This window comes from Homo sapiens, chromosome 22, assembly GCF_000001405.40.
Source record: "Homo sapiens chromosome 22, GRCh38.p14 Primary Assembly".
Lineage (NCBI taxonomy): Eukaryota > Metazoa > Chordata > Mammalia > Primates > Hominidae > Homo > Homo sapiens.
The window spans coordinates 44869651-44893680 of record NC_000022.11 but is presented as its reverse complement, the minus strand read 5'-3'; the positions used below and the strand labels follow the sequence as shown (position 1 = coordinate 44893680).

General features: G+C 51.9%; 1 protein-coding gene across 9 annotated transcripts in view, besides 3 other annotated features; it reads left to right on the top strand.

Annotated features, from left to right (window-relative positions):
• PHF21B (PHD finger protein 21B) overlaps window positions 1-12519 on the top strand; it is a 128844-nt gene extending 116325 nt beyond the window's left edge. For 7 of the 9 annotated variants that reach the window (NM_001135862.3, NM_001413063.1, NM_138415.5 and 4 more), the window contains 7 exons: window positions 148-224; window positions 2321-2375; window positions 3899-3921; window positions 5560-5718; window positions 7743-7818; window positions 8152-8255; window positions 10377-12519. In NM_001135862.3, the coding sequence (NP_001129334.1) occupies window positions 148-224; window positions 2321-2375; window positions 3899-3921; window positions 5560-5718; window positions 7743-7818; window positions 8152-8255; window positions 10377-10595 (713 nt within the window). In that variant the 3' untranslated portion in view covers window positions 10596-12519. Of the gene's footprint in view, window positions 1-147; window positions 225-2320; window positions 2376-2940; window positions 3348-3898; window positions 3922-5559; window positions 5719-7742; window positions 7819-8151; window positions 8256-10376 lie in introns of those variants that run through there. The other 2 variants (NR_134535.1, XM_011529855.2) reach the window with 2 other exon arrangements.
• Window positions 2585-3086: an enhancer, noted in NCBI's record as "H3K4me1 hESC enhancer chr22:45286475-45286976 (GRCh37/hg19 assembly coordinates)". NCBI's record gives its function as "activates a minimal SCP1, AML or CMV promoter by ChIP-STARR-seq in primed H9 embryonic stem cells {active_cell/tissue: H9 hESC(primed)}" and the evidence as "EXISTENCE:reporter gene assay evidence [ECO:0000049][PMID:30033119]".
• Window positions 5345-5909: an enhancer, noted in NCBI's record as "H3K27ac-H3K4me1 hESC enhancer chr22:45283652-45284216 (GRCh37/hg19 assembly coordinates)". NCBI's record gives its function as "activates a minimal SCP1, AML or CMV promoter by ChIP-STARR-seq in naive H9 embryonic stem cells {active_cell/tissue: H9 hESC(naive)}" and the evidence as "EXISTENCE:reporter gene assay evidence [ECO:0000049][PMID:30033119]".
• Window positions 22697-23608: an enhancer, noted in NCBI's record as "H3K27ac-H3K4me1 hESC enhancer chr22:45265953-45266864 (GRCh37/hg19 assembly coordinates)". NCBI's record gives its function as "activates a minimal SCP1, AML or CMV promoter by ChIP-STARR-seq in primed H9 embryonic stem cells {active_cell/tissue: H9 hESC(primed)}" and the evidence as "EXISTENCE:reporter gene assay evidence [ECO:0000049][PMID:30033119]".

Genomic DNA, 24030 nt, shown 5'->3' with positions numbered 1-24030 from the left:
CCCTGGGCCATTCTGTGGCATGGATGCTGAGCACACAGAGAGGCTTCAGAGCAGGAGGGGATGGTGGTGCCCAGGGCTTGGCAAGGAAGCATTTGGGGTTCCCAGGGCAGGCAGGACCCAGTAACTGCTGTGTCTGTGCCTTTCCAGAAATCCAGAGCAAGCGACAGGAGCGGAAGAGAAGAAGCACAGCCAACCCTGCCTACAGCGGCCTCCTGGAGACCGAGGTGGGGAACCCGCCAGCCCCATGCCACCAGGAGGGTGGGGGCTCCCAGTGCACAGCCTCCAGGAAAAGTCCCAGGGCCTCCCTCATTCGCTTTCCTAAGCACCCCCCTCGTCTGTCCCTCCTGGGAGTGGGGCTGGGGGGTGACCGTAAATCATCTCTCTCATCACCTCCGAGTTGACAGTCAATTGATAGGAAGATGCGGAAGAGGAGATGTCAGTTTATTCCTAATAGAGGCTCTCTGGTGGGCGTGGCTTCGTGTGAGGTACACCGGCTTCTTGCCTCTTCACCCTGAATGATCAGGCAAATCTCCGGTCACAGGCAGGGCTGGACACCCTGGCCTCCCTGGACCACCTCACACCTTGTCTAGAGCCTGTGCAGTTGGCTCATGGCTGGGAGAGACTGAGGATGTGCACAGCCTGGAGCAGGCGGGCACCGTAAAGAAAGGGGCTGGGTGGGCGTGGCCAGTGCCCTTCCCTACTCCCAGTTGGAGCGTCCATACCCAGGGATGGGGGTGGGAATCCGAGAGCCTACACCAAAATCGGTCCAGTGCAGCAGGGTTGGGATTTAAGGATGCCATAGGGGAGCACAAGGGCCTCTCCCATGAGCATGTCCCCAGGGAGAAACCAGATCATAAATGACACCTTCCTGCCCTTGTAAATGACAGTCCAAAATTCTTAGGTTAAAATCCTAATGTCATCTCCCCAAAGCCAACTCTGCAGGGTCTGTTGGGACCATTAGCTCAGAGGCTCAGGGCTTTCTTAGGGGCAGTGTCTTAGAGTCTTTCTCTGGGATGGAAGCCATTTGCTTAGAGCTCCGAAGTCCAGAGCTTGGGACAGCTGTCCTGAGGGAAACGATGTCCCCCGAGGTCAGTGCCTGGTGTGTTGCAGATGCCAGCTCTGTGAGATCTGGAGGAAGGTGAGGAAAGTGCTGTCTCACCTCCCAGGGTGCGGGCTAGTCTGGGCCACTGCCCAGAATCCATGTCTTGGGAACCTGAGCTCAAGTGGGAGGGAGGCGTTTCGCGCAGAGCGGCAGCCAGTTCCAGGCTCTGCAATTGCCCTGTCTGTGGGGAGAGCCCACCATGGGGCGTCCTCTGGCCTCATCAGCCTGTCCACGCCTTTCCTCTACTTCTGCCTGCCCCGCTCCTGTTCTGAGAACGTGCTCCACGTGGGCCGTTTCATACCATTCACTTCCTCTTCCTTCATCTGAGCAAGCTCTGTCCCCTGACTCGGACCCTTCGTAAGAACATCGTGGAGGTGTTTTCAGCCTCCACCCAAGGAAATGGTGTGTTCTCCAGACAGGGAGGGCTTCATTCCTTTAGATTTGTTCGTTCATGAAAATGCAGGCTGCTGTGTGGACGAGGCGTTACTCTAGGCTCCCAAGTCTGAGGCCAGGGCCAGAGACGGCATAAGCAGGTCAGGAGTCAACCCAAGGCCCCGTGACCCTGAGCCTGGAGCAGGCACACAGCCCGAGGGGGCCCTTCCCCAGGTCCACAGCCTGACCACACCGAGAGAAGTGGTGTCAAATCTGGCCACGCAGTATTACAACAGCCGCAGTCAAAGCCACTTTGAACCACCAAGGTTTAGACCGGTGTGGCCTGTGGTTGCCAAAGCCAGGACTAAGGCCGCTCTTCTGGAATGTTCCAGAAACCTTTGTCCACATGTGATGTTTCAGGCCACATGCCAAGAAGTGGAATTTAGGGGAGCCAGTCTATAACACCCATTTTTCCACCTGACTCCAGACCCAGTTGAGAGGCAGGAGACAGGTGGAGAATGTAACATGCACCATGTGACTGATGTGTCCCACTGACGGCCCTTCCTGAGCTAGACGCACCCATGGGTGCAGAGAGGGTGTCCTAGGCCTCCTGCAGGCAGAGCCTTTGCCGACTTCCCTGCCCCGCCCCGCCCCATCCTCAGCCATTCCTGCGTGCTTCTGCCCTGTATTTGTTCCTATTTCTGCCCCTGGCAGGGGGTGTCCAGCCAGAGCCTGGAGCCCTGGGTGGGAACCCTGTCCCAGAGAGAGTCCTGACCTGGGGTGACGTCACCATCGAAGAGAGCCTCCAGATGATGGGGTGTGTTGTTTTGTTTTCTGTCCCTGCAGAGGAAACGGCTGGCCTCCAACTATCTCAACAACCCCCTGTTCCTCACAGCGAGAGGTAAGCACCGGCTTCAGGCCTTCTGCCAGAGCTGCTCAGGGCCGCGGGGAGTCATCCCTGGGTGGTCCTCCACGCCTGGGCCTGGGCAGGGCTGCCCGCCTCCCACTGGTCTGACCTGGGCAGAGGAAGGTGAGGATGCTGTGCTGAGAGGAGCCTCCCACCTCCCCGCTCCTCCTGCAGCCTGTGTGTGAGCTTGGAGCTGTGGCCTGGGAGAGGTCCACAGCCTGGGCCATAGGTGTGAGCGTGACCGATGGGGCCTCTGCAGGTGTGACCCAGCCCAGGTGCTGCTGCTTCCATACTCCACTGGAGACAACCTCTCTTCCCCACACGCGGGCGGCCTCTGATACCCCTGGGCTGGGCTGGCGCCTCTCAGCCCACACCTTGCCCACCCTCTTGTGCCTGCTCTGGGCATTGGAAGAGCACAGGCTGGACAGGGGTGGGGATCTCAGCCCAGTTCTGCCTCTGCCTCGCTGTGTGTGTTGGAGCCGAGGGCTCCTTCTGTACAAGGCATTGGGCCAGATCTTCAGGCTGGAACCTGGCCTCAGGCCTCTACCTGTGTCTGCAGGGCCCCTCCCTCCTCTGCCAGCCGTGCCCCAGTGCAGGACCTCAGGGAGCCACATCCTTGCATTCAGACAGCAGCAGGAAGCTGCCAGTTCTCTTCAGTTAGAAAACCATAGTCCCACGAGCAGGAAATGACGACCAGCTTGCTGGGATTCTGTGTAGCTTTCAACATGTCACCATCCCTCCCTGGGCCTTGGTTTACTGATCTGGAAAGTGGGCCCATAGCTACCTGCTTCTCAGAGCTGGGACAGTGACTTGAAGGGCGAGTGTGACTGCACTTTGTGAGCTGTCGAGTGCTGTGCAGACTCCGGAACTGTTCTCCCGCTGGGTGGCATTATTTGCAGACAGATCTGATCTGGAACCTGAAAGATATATATGTTTGCGATCATTAAAATGTGTGGTTTGGTATCATTTACTAGAATGAGAGTGGATTACAGTTTAAAAAGAGTTGAAAATAAGTCACTTTGAGGGGTTCTTGGAGTGATGTTTCCTTCCCCCCGGGCAGCTCACTGCCACTATGTCCTCAGCACAGGGGCCACATGAGCCTGTTCCCATGGTGGCTCCTAGCTGTGACCAGGGCTGAGATCCTTACTCCCATCCTGCCCAGGAGTGAGACCCCAGGTATCACAGGGCCTTGTGATATTCCCATCATGCCCTGGGGTGAGCCCAGGTGTCATGGGGGCCTTGTGATATTCCCATCATGCCCTGGGGTGAGCCCAGGTGTCATGGGGGCCTTGTGATATTCCCATCATGCCCTGGGGTAAGATCCCAGGTATCACAGGGCCTTGTGATATTCCCATCATGCCCTGGGGTGAGAGCCCAGGTATCATGGGGGCCTTATGATGCTCCCATCATGCCCTGGGGTAAGAGCCCTTGCCACATGAGGCCTCATGGACTCCAGTCCTGATCTGTGCTCCTCTGACGGCCACTAACGTGTTCTCCGCCCTTCTTCCCTGTGCTAGCCAATGAGGACCCCTGCTGGAAGGTACGTGTCCCCTCCCTCCGTCTTCACACTTCCGGGGTGGAGAATGTTTTCAGTACAGTCCTCATAGGGTCCCTCCTGGAAAGAGGGAAAGAGCCCGGAGTGGTGCAGAAGGCCTTTCGGTTCTGCCTTTAGGTGCTAAGAGCTTTGTGCAACACTCAGCCAGCTTTCCAGCCGGCCAGGCAGCGTCAAGTCGGGCATTGCCACAGGGCTCTGCTCTCAGCTTCAAACAGGAGCCCTCCCTCCTCAGAATTGAGGATGCAGAGACTGCAGGGGCCACTGAGGCCCAACTGGAAGCAGCCAGCTGGTGCCCAAAGGCCTCCACCCTGGCTCTACTGGCCTCAGTGTGACCTGGGCAGAGCTGGCCCTCCCTGGTCTTCTGTTACCCGTCCGAAAAGGGGCTGGACTTGTTAATCCCCAGGGACTCACCCCACACACCCACATTTCTGTGATCCTGTGGGGCCCCCACCCCCTACCCCCTACCCCCTACCCGTGCACACACCACATCCCTGATTCCCAGAACATTGGCTGGTCATGACCTCGTTCATGGCATGATCTCAGAATTTATTCAGTGTTTTTCTTCACTGAATTTCTGATCTAATTCTAAAAGAACATTCTAGTCCCTGCATGCTTGTAACTGTCAAGCCTCTAAGAAGCAGTAGGTGATGATTGCAGTCAGCTCCGGTTAGGCTGTGTCATTTTCACAATAGCCCTGCAATGGCACGGGTTGGTGCTGGGGGGCCTGGCAGTGTTTATCTGCAAACATCTTGTGCCCATCCAGGGCGGGCATGTGGACAGGGGACACCTGGAGCCTGAGCTCTGTCCCCACAGAGCCCACAGACTTGGAGAGGGCCTCGGCTTTGAGGCAGGCCACCTGGTTGCTGGTCCCGGCTCCCCCTCCAGCTTGCTGTGTGATAACTGCCTCCCCCTCCCTGTGTGACAACCGCCTCTCCCTCCCTGGGCATTTGCATGACACAAGGGGTGGAGACAGGGACCTCTGAGGCCTCCTCTGAGGGTGTTGCCCCTCCTTCAGGGACATCCAGTGTCCTTGTGGCACGGGCCATCCCAGAGGAGAGCTCTCTGGTCTTTTCCAACTCTGAAGTTGGAGCATGCTGTTGACACGTGGATGGTGAACAGAGAGCCGAGTACAGGGTCTTGGCCGGGGCTACGCCGCCCCTCCAGGCAGTGTCCACATAAGCAGTGGGGGCGGGGAGGGAGTGCTGCATTCATCACTGGTCCCACTCCCAGCACATGGACCTCTGGTGCAACACAGACCCTCAGGGGGCTGTTTTCTAGGCCGCAGCAGGACAGCCTGCCTTGTCGCCCGCACCTGGGGTCCAGGTCTTAGCACAGAAGAATCAGGTTATGGGAGTCACACCAGGCCAGACTCCAATGCTCAGTGCCCCAGCCCCTAGTAAATCTGGCCCTGTGGGTGCCCCCCCTCCTCCCAGGGCCCAGGCCTGACCCCACACTGTCGCCCTCCAGGGTTTATCCCTCTCTCTCCGTAGAGCTGCTGGGAAACGTTGGCAGAAGAGCGGCCACATGTAGGTCAGACACAGCTGCCTGGGCCTGGCCCTGGCTGACCGGCCCCCGCTGCCCTGGCTGTGGCTGACCTGTCTCCTGCCCTCCCTTCTCTTCCAGAACGAGATCACCCACGATGAGCACTGTGCCGCCTGCAAGCGAGGGGCCAACCTGCAGCCCTGCGGCACCTGCCCGGGGGCCTACCACCTCAGCTGCCTGGAGCCGCCCCTCAAGACGGCGCCCAAGGGCGTGTGGGTGTGCCCCAGGTGCCAGCAGAAGGTACAGGAGGCTGTGTGACCCCCTCACCCCAGACTGGCATGGAGGTCCCCACCGTAGGCAGAGACAGGGCAGAGGAGGGGTGAAAAAAGGGGCTTGGGTATAGGAAGGCTTTTTCAACCTCAGCACAATTGACATTTGGGGCTGGATAATCCTTGGTTGAGGAACTTTGTCCTGTGTATTATGGGATTTTTTTTTTTTTTTTTTTTTTGAGACAGAGTCTCGTTCTGTTGCCCAGGCTGGAGTGCAGTGGCACAGTCTCGGGTCATTGCAACCTCTGCCTCCTGGGTTCAAGTGATCCTCCTGCCTCAGCCTCTCAAGTAGCTGGGGTTATAGGCGCCCACCACCACACCCGGATAATTTTTGTATTTTTAGTAGATGGGGGGTTTCACCATGTTGGCCAGGCTGGTCTCAAACTCCTGACCTCAGGTGATCAAGACTAGAGGGGAAGCAGCCTCTCCTCCCAGCAGCGGGAGATAGTGGAATAGCCCAGCTCTGCACTCAGTGAGATATTCCGCCAGCATCCAACAGGTTTTTACAAAAAGTGTGATTCTCTGGATCTTGTTCACTATATGGAATTATAAAGATAAAAAACAGGCTTTACAGCTGCTATATAGTTTGGGAATCAGCCATCTGAGAAAAACTGCAGAGTAAAAACCCTGGGAGAAAACGCTTGGGAGTGTGGCCCCTGAGTGTGGTGGGTGGCGGGTGGCAGCAGTGCTTGGCTTCAAGTGTGCCTTCCACAGATGCATGACTTGTGTGGTCATAGGGAGTTACCTTTCTTTCTTTCTTTTTTTTTTTTTTTTTTTGAGATGGAGTTTCGCTCTTGTTGCCCAAGCTGGAGTGCAATGGCATGATCTCAGCTCACTGCCACCTCTGCCTTCTGGGTTCAAGCGATTCTCCTGCTTCAGCCTCCCAAGTAGCTGGGATTACAGGCATGCGCCACCACTCCTGGCTAATTTTTTGTATTTTTAGTAGAGATGGGGTTTCACCATGTTGGCCAGGCTGGTCTCAAACTCCTGACCTCAAGTGATCTGTCCGCCTTGACCTCCCAGAGTGCTGGGATTACAGGTATGAGCCACTGCACCCAGGCCGGGAGTTTTAATACTTTATTTCAAAAAGTATTAACCATTGGGAGTTCCCATCATCCCTGGTTCTGTGGGGATCAAAGGCTGTGGATATGGTGGGCAGGGGCTGCTGTCGGGCTGTTCCCTCTGCGGCTACCTGCCCCTGCATTGTGACTGCCTGGGTCGGGGGTTACATCCTTTTTTTTTTTTGGTAGACAGGGTCTTGCTCTGTTTCACAGGCTAGAGTGCAGGAGCATGAGCACAGCTCACTGCAGTCTTGACCTTCGGGGCTCAAACAATCTTCCCACCTCAGCCTCCTGAGGAGCTGGGACCACAGGTACACACCACCATGGCCAGCTAATTTTTTAATTTTTTGTAGAGGTTGGGTCTCACTTTGTTGCCCAGGCTGATCTCGAACTCCTGGGTTCAAGCAGTCCTCCCACCTTGGCCTCCCAAACTGCTGGGATTAATGCCCAGCTTTTTTTTTTTTTTTTTTTTTTTTTTTTGCCTCTTCTTCCTTTTTTCTTCTTTCTTTTTTGTCACAACTTTTTGAGGCCATGTGGAGAGGGAACAGAATTCTGTTCCCCACTTCAGCATAGTGTGGGGGACATCGAGTCTCTCCATTTGTCCCTGGCGTGCCTGGGGTCGCTGCCCTCAGGTCTTCTGGACGTGGGAGGAAGACAGGTGATCATTCGTTCGTTCGAGAAGTATTTGAGCCTGCTGCCTGTTCAGGGCCCTGGTGATGAGCAGGGGAGAGGCCCAGAATGTTCCAGCCTCGTGGAGCTGTGTAGCCCCTGTGAGCTGGGCCATGAGGCATGTGCGGCCCCAGCTCCTGGTCACGGGTGAGGACCCTGTGGCTCAGACAGGGCGTGCCCCCTCAGGGTTACACAGCCAGGGTGTGGACAGTCCCAGCAGGTCCCAGGGCCTGTCCACTTTTTCATCTCCCCGTCTGCTCCCCAGGCCTTAAAGAAAGACGAGGGTGTGCCCTGGACTGGGATGCTGGCCATCGTGCACTCTTATGTCACCCACAAGACAGGTGAGGCATCCCTGGGGAGTGGAAAAGGGTACCTGCTCCCCCTCCTCCCCCACCCAGGCCTCTGGGCTCACCTGGTCCTGTGGGAGGACAGGTGGGTCCATTCCCTTCAGGGCCAGAGCACTGAAAAGTGGGATCCTGGGACCGGTCCTGTGTCCGGGGCAGGTGTGGCCAGGGGAGAGTGGCTCCAGGTCCTGTGCATTTGGCCACAGCCACTGGCTTCTTCAGGGGGATGTCCTAGGCCTTGGTTTCATCCCTTCTGCCTCTCCCATTTACTCTACGACCCAGCCGCTCCTTACCTGCCCCTCTCCAGGGACCTGGCCTTCTCTTTTCTAGTCAAAGAAGAGGAGAAGCAGAAGCTGCTGCAACGAGGCAGTGAGCTGCAGAACGAGCACCAGCAGCTGGAGGAGCGGGACCGGCGGCTGGCGTCAGCAGTGCAGGTGTGCCCCGGGGCCTGGGGGAGGCTGGCCTCAGCCCTGCAGGTGTGCCCCGGGTCTAGGGGACAGATAGATGTGTCCTTAGAACCACAGGTGTAGATCCAGGCTGGCCTCAGCAGTGCAGGAAGGAGCCAGGGCCTGGTGGACAGGCAGGCGTGTCATTCAAACCACAAGTGTAGATCCAGGCTGGCCTCAGCCCTGCAGGTGTGCACCGGGGCCTGGGGACAGGCAGATGTGTCCTTAGAACCACAGGTGTGGATGCAGAGCTTCACTGTTCACCTGTAAGGCCTAGGAAGAAGACAGACTCACCAAGCATCCCCCAGCAAGCCAGTATGTGGAGAAGGCAGCGCTGTGACTCATTCAACAAATATTTATCAAGCGATTGACAGCACCCTGGCTGTGCGCCTGCTCAGGCCCCTTGGCAGGGCCCTGACCTCCGAATCTGTTTCCTCTTGTGTAAAGTGAACGTAATTCCTCCTCCATAGGATGGAGATAGACAAGATAATGAAGATGATGGTTGTGGTGGTGGTGATGATGGTGATGGTAGTAATGGTGATGGTGATGATAGTGGTGATGGGAATATGATAATGGTGGTGGTGGTGATGATGGTGATGGTGATGATGATATGGTGTTGGTCGTAATGGTGGTGGTGATGGTGATGGTGGTAATGATGGTGGTGCTGATCACAGTGATGGTGGTGGTGATGGTGATCATGGTGGTGATGGTGATGGTTGTAATGATGATGGTGATGATGGTGATGGTGCAGACCACAGTGATGGTGATGGTGGTGATGATAATGGTGATTATGGTGGTGATTATGGTGATGGTGGTGTTGATGGTGCTGATCACAGTGATGGTGATAATGGCGATCATGGTTGTGGTGATGGTGGTGATGATGGTGCTGATCACAGTGATGGTGGTGGTGGTGACGATGGTGATCATGGTGGTGGTGATGGTGGTGATGGTGCTCATCACCGTGATGGTGGTGGTGGTGATAATGGTGATCATGGTGGTGGTGATGGTGGTGATGGTGCTCATCACCGTGATGGTGGTGGTGGTGACGTTGGTGATCGTGGTGGTGATGGTGCTAATGATGGTGGTGATGGTGCTGATCACAGTGATGGTGGTGGTGGTGATAATGGTGATCATGGTGGTGGTGATGGTGGTAGTGATGATGGTGGTGATGGTGCTGATCACAGTGGTGGTGGTGGTGGTGACGTTGGTGATCGTGGTGGTGATGGTGGTAATGATGGTGGTGATGGTGCTGATCACAGTGATGGTGGTGGTGGTGATAATGGTGATCATGATGGTGATGGTGCTGATCACAGTGATGGTGGTGGCGGTGGTGATAATGGTGATCATGGTGGTGGTGATGGTGGTGGTGGTGCTGATCACAGTGATGGTGGTGGCGGTGGTGATAATGGTGATCATGGTGGTGGTGATGGTGGTAATGATCACAGTAATGGTGATGATGGTGGTGTTGATGTGTTAGAGGATGGTGATGGTAGCGGGCCCTGGGGAAGCTCTTTAAATGCAGTGTCTCATTTAATCCTCTCTATAATGCTGTGAAGAGGCTTTGTGATTGTCCCTATAATCATTTTAGAAACCATCTCGGGGAGGTTGTTATTTGCCCAAGCAGTATTTCACCCAGAGCAGATGGATATGGGACTGTAGGCATCAGTCCTTACTGCTTTTCCTTGTTGCGGTGGTGCGTAGAGAGACAGTGTGTTGTGCAGCACCACACAGCACAACAGGCGAGAGAAAGAGCAGAAAGGCGACTGGGAAGCCAAAGGCCTCCGAGGCTGCTGCAGTTTGGCCAGCAGGAGGAGGAGGAAGAGTGTGGGCAGCTAGCGGGGAGGAGGAGGTCACATCACAGCCATGGGAAGGACGTTCCCAGGCAGAGCCACACTTTTTCTAGCCCTAAGTTCCAAAGCGAGCATCATCTCCTGTGGGTCTGGCTGCTCTTTAATTGCATTTGCACCACTGCCTGGTTTTTGTGAAGCCCTCAGCCTGGTTTCTTGTAGGCCTTTGTAGTGGAGGGGAGAGGGGCCCAGACGGTGGCTGCCCCAGGATGGCTGTAGAGCCGAATACTGAGACCCTTTCCCCTGACCTTCTCCCCAACAGAAATGCCTGGAGTTGAAGACAAGCCTGCTGGCCCGCCAGAGGGGCACCCAGTCATCCCTGGACCGCCTGCGGGCCCTCCTGAGACTGATACAGGGCGAGCAGCTGCTCCAGGTCACCATGACGACCACTAGCCCTGCCCCACTGCTGGCCGGGCCCTGGACCAAGCCCTCAGTGGCAGCCACACACCCCACCGTCCAGCACCCCCAGGGCCACAACTGACCCCGAGGGACCAGTCTTCATACCCACGGAAAGTTATTGGGACCCTGCTTACACAGCCTGGGGGTTCTGTCGGCCTTAATTCATAAACACTATGAATTTCAGACAAAAATTAACCAGACAGAGGAGAGGAGGGAGGAAGAGCTGGGCGAGAGGCCTAGAGCCAGGACCAGGTGGGGGTGCGGCCCTGTGCCCTCCAAATTCACAGGGGGTACCTAGGAGCCAGGTGGGGTACGACAGGCTGGGGCACACAGTCTCCCCCCGGCCACCTCGGGGCTGCCTGGGCCTCTGGCTTCCAGGCCCTGCTCTCCACGGCCTCCCTCTGGCCCGTTGGAGGGGCAGGCTGAGGCTGTGGAGGGGACAAGCACGCCCCCCAGAACGCAGTCTCCACTGAGGGCACCGCCTATTGGTGTCCTGTGGGAGGGCGAGCTGAGAACACATGGACTAGCTGAGTGGTAGCGGTAGTTGGGACGAGAAGCGGGGTAGTGGATCTAGGTAGTTCCTCAATGCCCCACGCTCCTAGGAGGTCCCCCTGGGGTGGGCGGGCGGGCCTGGGGCACTCCGTCGCCTTTGCAGAACCACCTGGGCCCCTTTCTGTCAGTATTATTAGGGTTACGAATTGCAGCTGTTTAACTTGAAAGACACTGTCGGAGGTGAGCATCTGGGCGCCGGGACGCTGCAGTGATCCCCGCCAGAGCCTGTGCCCTTCCTGCTCCGTCTTTGGGGTCCTCAAGGCTGCCTCCTTCCTTTTGCCAATCTCTTGGACTCAGTTTGCCGTTGATGCGTTTTTCTCATGGAGTTTCTGGGCAGAGTGGAGCTGCAACCCTGTTGTGGGGGGCAGCATTTGGCAGGTTTTCTCCTTGGGGTTGAATCATTCAACTTAACGACTGAAGCCCTTTCTTGTCTCCTTTGGAAGAGCCGATAAGTATTCCACTCCTCCCTTCTTGCCAGTGCAGACACTATGCCAAAAAATAACTTCACACTTTTGTATGGCGTTTTTATTGTGAGATATTTAATGTGAATGGTTGGGGGGACTCTGGCTGACTTCCTTTCTGCTTCTAGTAGTCTCTGCTTCAAGGTACAAATGGGAACACCTCCCCTCGGGAAGCCTGGCCAAGCTGGAAGATCCGGCAGGTTTTTTACGAGCCGGGTGGAGGGTTGGGGAGGAAAGAAAGGGCGGTGGCTCGGGAGGTTCCGGCCTTCGGGGACCAGACTTGCTGCCAAGGGCTTCTGCATCCAGGGTGGGCAGTGGCAGCTTGTCACCCTTGCCCGATTCCCACATCCCAGTCCTGAGGGACTCAGCACAACAGGATAAGCGTCCAGGAGCCACGGGCTCCCACCCCGAGCATATCACATGGTGCCGAATTGCACTGAACACGCGTGTGTGCATCGCACGCGGCCACGACCACAGACACGCATGCACACACGCAGAGGTGCAGAGCGAGGAGGCCGGCAAATCCCGCAGCTGCCACGGTCCCTCCTGTCATTCTCACGACTCCGGGAGAAACTGTGCTGTATGATACAGATCTATTTTAATACACTTACCACTGGGTGAACAAGATTTTTATATTCTTTTATTGATGAACAAAGTGAACCGTGTGAGGCACACGTCTTCTATATTGGCTACTCTGTGCCAAGTATGCATTACCGCGTGGCTTGCGATGTCCATGTCTTCAGCTTCCTTTTCTGTTGGTTTGGTTTTCTTCGCGGATGGATTGAGTTACATGTTTTAACAGTGTAATGGGAGGATCTGAAAGGTTGGACCCGGGAGGGGTAGCTGCCGATGTGTCTTGAGATTGTTAGGTTTTTTTTGGACCAAGGAGGACCGTCCAGTGGGTAGTGAGGATAGAGAAAAAGTGTTTGTCTTAAATACGCCAATGTAGTTTTCCTTCTTTACAATGTATTAAACTCGATCGATGATTTCAAAGCCCTGTGGTTTTGGTGTCCTTGCGTTGCGGAGAGGCCCCCGGGAGTGCCCAGGGCAGCCAGGTGGGCGTTGGAGGGGCTGGAAATCAGGGTCTTCTCCCATCCTGAGGAGGGAGGGATGGAGGGAGGGAAACAGGGAGAGAGCTCAGTGCCCTCCACTCACTCACCCCCGATTCCCAGTCCTCAGAGGCGGCGGGTGACCCTTTAGGGCTAGGATTGAGGGTGGAAAGTCTTGGAAACCCAGCAGGTCTGTCACTGTGCAGAGCCCAAGGTGGTGCCCTCTGCTCCCTCATGGGTTCCTGCCTCTCAGCCTGGCAACATCACCGCTGTCTCTCTCCCCCAGCAGCGGGTACAGGCGCTCCTGCAGCCACGCTGAGCTTACACCTTGCCCTACAAGAGGTGGGGAATCAGCCCCCCTGAGTCCTAGCTCCTGGCATTGCACGGGGGACTCTGATTGGCCAAGTGGGTCGGGGCCGACCCCTGGGCAGTTAGCTGTGGCCAGAGGCTGGGGTCTAATGCCAAAGTGGGGTCCGGTGCCCCAGGGGACAGAGAGGTGGAGGGCATGCAGGGCTGCCACACAGTCCCGCTTCATGGCTTGCCCTGGGGAGAATAGTTTGGGAGGAGGGGAGCAGGTTTCAAGTCAGCTCTGCCTGAGCCCTCCTGGGGGCCACTCAAAAGACCACACTCGGCATCCGTGGCTCACTCCTGTCCTCTTTGGATTCTCTTCAGTCCGACTCCCCACCCCTTTGCACCTCTGGAACACCAGGTCAGTAGTGACCTCCCATGGCCAGATCCCCGGGGTGCTCCCGGTCATCACCTGGACCTCTCAGAACCAGAGGACACATTGGCCACACCCCCTGCCAAAGGAGGCTCCTGGGACCTCACTCCTGCCAATGTGGCTGCTCCCTGGTCTCTGCTCCAGACTTGCTTCTCTTCTACCTAATCACTGAAGGCCCAGGTCTGTGTTCAGATCTCCCGCAGCCGGCCTTCACCTGCCCCTGGCTTCTGTCTGTACCCCCAGGCCCACTGTACGGCTGCGGGTGTCTCACGCTCTGCACAGTCTCTACCAGGCCAGTCCCTCCCACCTCCCCATCTCAGAGGAGCTTCAGGCTGCTGGGGCTGGCACCCTGGGAGTCACTCTTGGCTCTTTTCTCCCACCTTGCATACCTGGTCCTTGGCAAATCCATCAGCTCCGCCCTCAGGACATAAGCAGGATGGGACAAGCCTCACCGCCCACCCCAAAATCACCTTGGTCCCAGCCCCATGATCTCCCCTGGATTCCGGCAGCTGCCACCCACCTGCTCTTTCCAAACCCTGCCCCGCTGCAGTCTCTTCTCAACCCAGCAACTAGTGTGATGGCGACGCTGTCAAAACCCTGCCATCCGGGCGCCTGTAATCCCAGCTACTTGGGAGGCTGAGGCAGGAGAATCGCTTGAAACCGGAAGGTGGAGGTTGCAGTGAGCTGAAATCACACCGCTGCACTCCAGCCTGGGCGAAAGAGCGAAACTCCGTCTCAAAAAACAAACAAAACCCTGCTGCCCTGTGTCTCGTTCAGCAAAAGCTAAAGGCCTCACCCTACTCACCTTACTTGTGCCTCCAGGGCCACAGGCCCCGCTTGCTCTGGCCTCTGGTTTATGCCCTGCTCCTCTCCTCCTTGCCTGCCTCCTCGCTTGCTCCCACCGCAGGGCCTTTGCATGTGCTGTGCCCTCGGCCCCCAGCCATCTCCCTGAAGACCTGACCCTGAGCACCGCCTCCTCGCAGTGCCGCCTTCCAGCCCCCTCGCCAGGACCCTGGCATTGCCTGTCCTTCTGCCTGCTCTTTGGTTCCTTGAGCTTCCACAGCCTGCTGTGTGCACCCCTGTGGGTTTTTATCTGTCTACTCAGGAAGATAGGGAGTTTGGTTGGTTTTCTTTCCAAACCCCAGCATCTAGAAGTGCCTGGCAAACAGTTGGCACCCAGCATAGACTTTGGAGAGACAGAGCTGCTAGGCCTTGGGGCTGCGCCATCCTGGTTCAGGGCCCTCCCCTGGGGAGTCCCTTAGGCCACCCCAACTGCCAGGTGAGGCTGGGCAGGCAGATGAGAAAGCAGAGGCCAGGAAAGGGATGGAATTGCCTGCGATCCTGCAGGTGCCGAGTGGACGTGCCTGGACTCCACTCCGTCCTTGTCCTCCAATCCCATGCGGTTCCATCACAGCCATACTCCCAACCAAGAGCAGGGCTCAGGGGCAGCTCCTGTGACCTCCAGCTCCCGGACCGTGCAGGGACTTCCCTCCAAAGCACCCCTCACTGCCCTGCCCCTCTACTCCAGCAACAGCAGCTCCCTCCCTCCCTCCCAGGGACAGCTCTGCCATTAGAAGGGGGCTCCCACGATGTGCAGACATCTGCCGCCTGTAGCTCAACACACCCCACCCCACAGCACCCAGGGGACCCTGTGCTGAGACAAGCCTCAGTTTGGGACAGCGGTCACTCCAGGACCCTCACTCCCAGCTCCATCTAACACGGCCCCTGGAGAGCAGGGTGCCCAGCTCAGGGTGGGCTGGCTGTCCAGGGCAGGCGGTCAGCATGGAAGGAAGCTTCTCTTTGGCAGATCCCAACTGCCAGCATCCCTTGGGGGCCATTGTTAAGTAGGGGGTGAGGGTTGCTTGAGCACAAACACAGGGACACTGCAATGGTCGAGCTGATCAATGAGATGGTGGCCAAGTGACTCATGAGCAGGTAGCTGGACGGAGGGACGCTTCCTATCCAGGGCGGGACACTGCTTATGAATTGTTTATTTCTGGAAATTTCCATTTAATATTTTTGGACTGTAGTTGACCATGAGTAACTGAAACTGCAGATAAGTGGGGATTACTGCATAAGGGTCATTGTACTGGGGGTTAGGACTTCAACCCTGGGGCACACGACTTAACCCTGCTATGGTTCGAATGTGTCCCCTCCAAAATCCAGCTGTTGCCTGTGTGATAGTATTAGGTGGCAGGGCCTTGAAGAGGTGATTAGACCCTGAGGGCTCCTTCCTCATGAATGGGATTGGTGCCCTTGCAAGAGGGGCTTGAGCGAGGTATTTCATCCCTCTCTGCCCTTCCGCCTCCAGCCGGGTGAGGAGGACGCAATGCTCTTCCCCTCTGGAGGAGCTGTTGGAAGCAGAGAGCAGCCCTCACCGCACAGCCAACCTATGGTGCCTTCGTCTTGGACTTCCCAGCCTCCAGAACTGTGAGAAAATCAGTTTCTATCCTGTGTAAATTGCCCAGTCTGTGTTGTTTTTGTTTTTTGTTTGTTGGTTTTTTAGACAGAGTCTCACTCTGTTGCCCAGGGTGGAGTGCAGTGGCACGATCTCAGCTCACTGCAACCTCTGCCTCCCGGGTTCAAGCGATTCTCCTGCCTCAGCCGCCTGAGTAGCTGGGATGACAGGCGCTTGCCATCATGCTGGGCTAATTTTTGTATTTTTAGTAGAGATGGGGTTTTGCCTTGTTGGCCAGGCTGGTCTTGAACTCCCGACCTCAGGTGATCTGCCCACCTCAGTCTCCCAAAGTGCTGGGATTACAGGCGTGAGCCACTGTGCCCAGCCTTAGTCTGTGGTATTTTGTTATAGCAGCAGAAACTGACTAAGACAAACCCATCATAGACAGCTTTCCTTGGGTTGCCTGAAACTTGCTTCCCTGGGGCTTCTGCTCTCTGGAGCCATCTGGAGCTGCCCTGTTTGCCTCCTGTGCCCCTCTAGGGGCACATGGCCCATGATGGTACAATACGAGTACCACATCTCCCAGCCAAGTTGATTTGTTAATGAACAGGCCACATGACCCAAGACATGCCAGCAAGAGGCCTCTCCAGGAATTGTACCAGTTCCCTCATGAAAGAAGCATCTAGCACTAAAGAAAGGCCCGAGTGAGCCTTAAGTACTTGGGAGCTGGCTTATTGGTGTTTTCAAACTTTATTAATTACTGAAAGCCTCTGCTTGCCCACTCACCAGCATTGGTACCTGCAACCCACAGGCGTGTTTTCTACTTGCGAGTGACTGTGGACCGGCCCAGCCCAGCCAACTGGGCAAACCTCAGCACCCAGAGGGCTTGCAGCTGCTCCTTCTCCAAAGAGGTCTGAATCTCAGCTTTGGGGATGGGCTTCCCCTTCCAAATTGTTCCTCCCCAGGATGCTCTCATGTAGCCCAAAGGTACTCTTCAGAGATCAGTTTCTACCCTAATATTTATGGCCCTGTTATAGCTACTGATTTGTTTACACTAAACTTTCCCTTTTCAAATTATTGTGTTTTCTGTTTCCTGAGTGAACCCTGACTGATACACCTTATATCCTGAAACCTTGCCACATCCTCTTATTAGTTCTAGTAGTTGTTTTGTAAACCCTGTAATACTTTCCATCTAAACAATTATGTCGTCTGCAAGTAGCGTCAGTTTTACTTCCCTCTTTCGAATCTTTATGCCTATTAGTTTTCTTGCCATATTGCAATAGTCAGGATCTCCAATACAATGTGGAATGGAAGAGGTGAGACTGGGCACCCTTGTCTTGTTTCTGATTTTGTAAGGAGAATGTTTCAATAATTTGACCATTAAGTACATTAATTAGTAGATAGAAAGTCCCTTCTTAGTTTGCTTTGATTTTTTAAAAATCACAGATGGTTTTAAAATTTTGTCAAACACTTATATCCATTTTTAAAACAATATGCATATCTCCTGTATTCTGGAAATATGATTTATATTGATTTTCAAATGTTAAACCAACCTTTAATTATTGAAATAAACTTTACTTGGTTCACTATATAGTATCTTTTTCATATTGCTTTATTTGATTTGCTAATATTTAAGTATTTTCATATTTATGTCTATGAGGGATATTGAACTATAGACTTCTTTGCAAATCATCATCAGGTTATGGTGTTAAATAAGTTAGAAATGTTCTAGTTTCTGAAAGAAGATCTTTCTATTGTTAGAATTCACCAGCGAAGCCATTTGTGCCAAGAGTTTTACATACGAGAAGGTTTTTTTCCATTAAAATTTTCAGCGTATTTAATATACAAGGCTATTCAGATATTCAGTTTCAGCTAAGTTGAATTATTCAAGGAGTTTGTCATCTTGCTGATCATAATATTTTCTTATTATTTTACTATCTGTAGACTCTAAAGTCATAATTTTTATTCTTAATTTCTGACTTCTTTTGATCTATCTAGCTATGTGTTTGTGAATTCTGTTTATCTTTTCAAATAACTAATTTTTGGCTTTGTTAATTTCCTCTACTGTCTGTTTTATTGTCGTTGTTGATTTCTGTTATTTATTATTTCCTTCCTTCTACTTGTGTGGGTTTACTTTGATACATAAATTTTTTTTCTTAAAAATGACTCATCACTAGTCATTGATTTTAGAATTTTCTCTTTTTTTCTTTTTTCCTAATATAAGCATTTAGATTTCCCTCCAGGTACTGTTTTAACTGTTACAGAAATGTTGACATATCACATTAGCATATATTCAAATTAATTTGGATTTGAATTCAAATTATTTTCTCACATCCATTATGATATCTTCTTTGACATGTGAATTATTTAGAAGTGTGGTTTCTTTTTCTTTTTTACAAAAAGAAAAAAGAAACCTAAATATCATTTATTTTTATTTTCAATTTTATTTCATTATAGGCTTCATGTGATTTCAATTCCTTTAAATTTATTGAGACTTGTTTTGTATTCCAGAATGTGGTCAGTATTCATGTCTGTATCATGTGCACTTTGAAAAGAATGTGTATTCTTCTGTTGTTGGCTGTAACATTATAAAAATATCAATCAGGTCAAGGTGGTTGATAGTTGTTCAGATTATCTGTGACTTTACTTTCTGTCAAGTTGATCTTTCAGTTGATGAGAGAAATGCTAAAGTCTCCAACTATGATTATGAAATGTCTATCTTTTAAATTATCTTGTGTTTTTTTTTCTTCCTGTATTTGAAGTTCTATATACTAGGTGCATTTACATTTGATAGTTACATCTTCTGAATAAATTGACCATTGTATCAGTATCAGAAGACCCTCTCTAAATGATAATACTTTTTGTCTTGAAGTTTATTTTATCTAAGGTTAATATAGACACCCCACACTCCTGATGCCTACTGCGTGCATGGTATATTTTTTGTATTCATGTACCTTCAACCTGTCTATATTTAAAGTGAATGTAGTTAGTTCTTGCTTTTATATCCATTTTGACATCTGCCCCTTAATTTTAAAGTTTAGTCCATGAATATTAGAGATAATTATTGATGCAGTTGGTAACTTTATTATTTGTTTCCTGTTTGTCCCATTTGGTTTCTTGTTCCACTGTTTATCTTGGCTTTTTTTGGTTTAAATTTTTTTTTTTTTTTTTGAGATGGAGTCTTGCTCTGTCGCCAGGCTGGAGTGCAATGGTGCGATCTTGGCTCACTGCAACCTCTGCCTCCCAGGTTCAAGCAATTCTTCTGCGTCAGCCTCCCGAGTAGCTGGGACTACAGGTGTGCACCACCACGCCTGGCTAATTTTTGTATTTTTAGTAGAGATGGGGTTTCACCATGTTGGCCAGTATGGTCTTGATCTCCTGACCTCGTGATCCACCCGCCTCGGCCTCCCAAAGAGCTAGGATTACAGGCATGAGCCACCACGCCCAGCCTAAAAAATATTTTTAATAATTCACTTTTAATTTTTTTGTTAGCTATATCTTCTTTTGTTTGTTTGAGACAGAGTCTGTCTCCGTCGCCCATGCTGGAGTGCACTAGCGATCGTGGCTCACTGCAACTTCCGCCTCCCGGGTTCAAGCGAGTCTCCTGCCTCAGCCTCCCAAGTAGCTGGGATTACAGGCACCCACCATCATGCCCAGCTAATTTTTGTATTTTTGTAGAGACGGGGTTTCACCATGTTGGCCACGTTGGTCTCAAAACTCCTGACCTCAGGTGATCTGCCGACCTTGGCCTCCCAAAGTGCTGGGATTATAGGCGTGAGCCACCACACCCAGCCAGCTATATCTTTTTACATTATTTTTTGGTAGTTGATCCTTGCATCATAATATACATCATTACCTTTCAGTTTACTTAAGGTTGATACTGTAAGCCCTAATATTAAATTTTTTAAATATATAGCTGTAGGTAAAGACCCTCTTGTTCCTTTCTTCTATGAAGAGTTTGGTATATCTCCTTCCCAGCTACTTTTTAAAAATTCTTCTTGTATATATATATACACATATATATATATATATATATGTATAGGTCATGTGTATATATATAGGACATTGTGTGTGTGTGTGTGTGTGTGTATATATGTCAATGTATATAATATTATTCAATCCATGAACAACATATAGGATTGTCTTGGTAGCTTAAAATTTTTACACATATGATGCCATGCTATCTTTATTGTTCTGTAGCTTTTTTCCTTCCTAATGCAATATTTTGAGATCTATCTATATTGATAAATTCACTCCTATTTTGTTCAGTTTAACTGCAGGACACTCTTCAATCTTGTGAATACATCACCCAATTTATTTGTCATTTCTGCTACTGATGGATATTTAGGCTGCATCTAATTATTTTCTCTGACAGCCGTGCTGCGGTGATGTTATTATACCTACTTTCTTGGTTATTATCTAGACTTAACAATGCTTGAACTTCACCAGCTTGCTAAATCGCTCTCTAAAGTGACTGTACTATTTGCATTGTGACCAGCAGTATACGAGAGTGCCCATTTCTCAAAATATTAAGAATAGGATTCATAGATAGTCACATTTCAAGTGATTTTTCTTTTCTTGGCGTGTGTGTGTGTGTGTGTGTGTGTGTGTGTGTGTGTGTGTGTTGTTTTTAAGACAGGGTCTCACTGTCACCCAGGCTGGAGTTCAGTGGCATGATCATGATCTCGGCTCATTGCAGCATCAACCTCCTGGACTCAAGCAGTCCTCCCATTTCAGCCTCCAAAGGAGCTGGGACTACAGGCACAGCTTGTATACCTTCTGTCATTGTTTTTTTTTTTTTTTCTTTTTTCCCCTAAACAGTAAGTTATTGTTATTCTAACAAAAAAGTAAAGCTTTTTGATATCAAATCAACAGCAGAGAGGCTGGGCACAGTGGCTCACGCCTGTAATCCCAGCACTTTGGGAGGCTGAGACAGGAAGATCACTTGAGGTCAGGAGTTTGAGCCCAGCCTGGCCAACGTGGTGAAACCCTGTCTCTACTAAAAATACGAGAATTACCCAGGCATAGTGGTGTGTGCCTGTAATTCCAGCTACTAGGGAGGCTGAGGTAGGAGAATCGCTTGAACCCAAAAGGGCTGCAGTGAACAGAGATTGCACCACTGCACTCCAGCCTGGGTGACAGAGTGAGACTCAATCTCAAAAATAATAATAATAAAATAATAAATTTTAAAAAATCAACAGCAGAACCTGCTCTTTCTCCCATACTCCTGCCATTCCAGGGACGATCACCCTTAGTTGCCCACATATCTCAAGCCAAAAACCAGGAGGTGTTTACGACTCTCTTGTCTCTTCTGTCTCCTATCCTGCACCTCCCTGTGCCCTGCACATACTGCTTTAGTTCTTAAAAACAGTTAATTGCGCATTTACTTTCTTTCTTTTTTTTTTTTTTTTTTTTTTGAGATGGAGTCTCGCTCTGTGGCCCAGGCGGGAGTGCAGTGGCGCAATCTCAGCTCACTGCAACCTCCGCCTCCTGGGTTCACGCCATTCTCCTGCCTCAGCCTCCCAAGTAGCTGGGACTACAGGCGCCCGCCATCACGCCTGGATAATTTTTTTGTATTTTTAGTAGAGACAGGGTTTCACCGTGTTAGCCAGGATGGTCTCGATCTCCTGACCTCGTGATCCGCCCGCCTCAGCCTTCCAAAGTGCTGGGATTACAAGCGTGAGCCACCGCGCCCGGCCGCATTTACTTTCTTACATTCTCCCCAGCTATTGAGGAAGCCCTTTGAGGGCAGGAAATGTACTGTGCTCTTCTCTGTAATTATGAGACTTTCACTGCCTGGCACAAAGCAGGTGCTTGGGAGCACACAGGGTATTGCAGGGTGGATGCTGACCTTCCCCATCACACAAAGAGAAAAAGCTCAGAGAACTTACACAGGTCATATGCCCACCATGTAGGACAAACACCCAAGCTGAGCCTTGTGACTTTCAACTCCCCGTCCTGGGCTAAATGACTTGCCAATGGTCACACAGCTGCAAATGGTACCAGAAGTGGGGTGCCCAGTCTTTGCCCCTCCAGTGACAGCAGGCTGGCCTTCTTCAGGGTAGACTGACTACTTGGTTTGCTACAGACTTTTATGCCTCAACAGAATTCAATAATTCATTGTGGATGTCAGTTACAAGTTCTGGGCAGCCCGCCTAATCTCTGGAGTCACTTAAAAATCTCTGTCGTTACTGCAAAGGTGAATGTTTGGACAATTTATTCTGTGCGTCCTGTCAATAGAGACACCCTGGAGTCCTCATTTCAGCACCGCATTTCATTGTTTTAAGCTGAAATGTGCTGATGTGCTTCCACCACATTATCTCTGTAATCACTTTCTTTTGCTGTGGAAATGATCAGGAAATTGTGCTTTGATACAAGGGAAGGGTGATGAGGCCACGCAGTGCTAAGCTAGGATTCCACAATTAACGTTTGTGACAGGGAAACTGTTATCAAAGAAGCCACAGGAGAACATCTTGGGGCCACCTCTTGGAGTCAGGAAATTTGAAACATATATTTCACAGACGTGCATTTTGCTGTAAACCTCTCTGCATAATGCATGAGATTTGATTTAATGTCATTGTTAATTCTGGTGCTCACAATGGTGGGCTCTTCAGGGAGCCATCATTTTTATTTCAGTTTTTTTTTTTTTCCCTGGCAACAGAATTCTGAGACCATTTTAGGGTTGTTCTGAATTGTGTGAGCACAAGACACCTTCCTGGGGAGGGGGTGCAGATGCTAGGTGTGGCTTTTCCAGAGGCTGTGGCCAGGGAGACAGGTGGCTGATTGCCTCGGGCTCCAAATCGAGCCATTCTTGGGGATCCCACTCAGGCCTGGTCTGGGTGCCTTGTGCCTGGATGTGTTTGGTCAGAGCTGGAAGGTTGCAGTTTTTAAAAAAAAGAATGAATGAGTGAATCAAAAGAAAAAGGCTTTAGGCCAGGCGCGGTGGCTTACGCCTATAATCCCAACACTTTGGGAGGCCGAGGTGGGTGGATCACCTGAGGTCAGGAGTTCGAGACCAGCCTGGCCAACATGGTGAAACCCCGTCTCTACTAAAATTACAAAAAAAAAAAAAAAAAAGCCAGGCGTGGTGGCGGGCGCCTGTAATCCCAGCTACTAGAGATGCTGAGGCAGGAGAACCACTTGAATCTGGGAGGCGGAGGTTGTAGTAAGCCAAGATTGCACCACTGCACTCCAGCCTGGGCGATGGAGTGAAACTCCATTTCAAGAAAAAGGAAAAAAAGACTTTGTAGCAGAGTAGAAAAGAAATAAAACAATAATCAACTTTCAAGATGCATAAAAGAATCATTCTGGCCTAGGTTAGCTAGGAGTGAGAGCTAAAAAGAACAGAAAAACAGATCATGTATGGTGAAGGTGCGGGAGGGAGTAAAAACATGAATGAAGGGAGGAGGAAGGCGTAGCCAGGCATTGGACAAGAGACCAGTGGGGAAGAAGGAGCCGGGAGGGGAAAGGGGAAGAGGAGTCCAGAAAGCCTCACTGAGGCCCACAGGCCCTGGTGGTTCCTCCGAAGGATAGGGCTCAGGGCTGGGTGCCTGTAGTCCTGCTCCCTGGAGCCCTGAAGCAGTGAGGGCATGAGGTGCAGTCCTCCTGCTCTAAGCTGGATGAGGGCTGGTGGGGGGTGAGCAGGGACCTGGAGCCTCTCAAAGGACTTCAGTGCAGAGGCTGCCAGGGGCACCGCCATGCATCTCTGTTTCCTGCCTAAACGTGGGCTGATGGTGACAGCTGACAACCCAGTGTGGATTAAACTTGCTGAGTCACTGCAAAAGGTGGGGCTGATCCTAGCTCAGGATTTTTGGTCTCTGACTGGCGTTCTCAGAGCTGGGAGTAGGCAGTGTAAAAACCCATTGTAGGGCCAGGTGCAGTGGCTCATGCCTGTAATCCTAGCACTCCGGGAGGCCGAGTTGGGTGGATTGCCTGAGCTCAGGAGTTTGAGACCAGCCTGGGCAACATGGTGGAACCCCATCTATACTAAAATAAAAAATATTCACTGGGCATGGTGGTGTGTGTTTGTAATCCCAGCTACTTGGGAGGCTGAAGCAGGAGAGTCGCTTGAACCCAGGAGGTGGAGTTTGCAGTGAGCCGAGATTGTGCCACTGCAGTCCAGCCTGGGGGTTAGAGCGAGACTCTGTCTCAAAACAAACAGACGAAAAACAAAACCCACTGTATAGATGGGAAGCCCAAGGCCCAGGTGTCTCCCTTTGGCTCCCACAGCTCCGTGGAAAAACATGGGGTTGCCCTGGTTCAAATCCCAGCTCTGCCACTCACTAGCTGTGTGACTTCAGGTGTGTTCTCTTACTGTTCTGTGGGGGGCCTCTGGA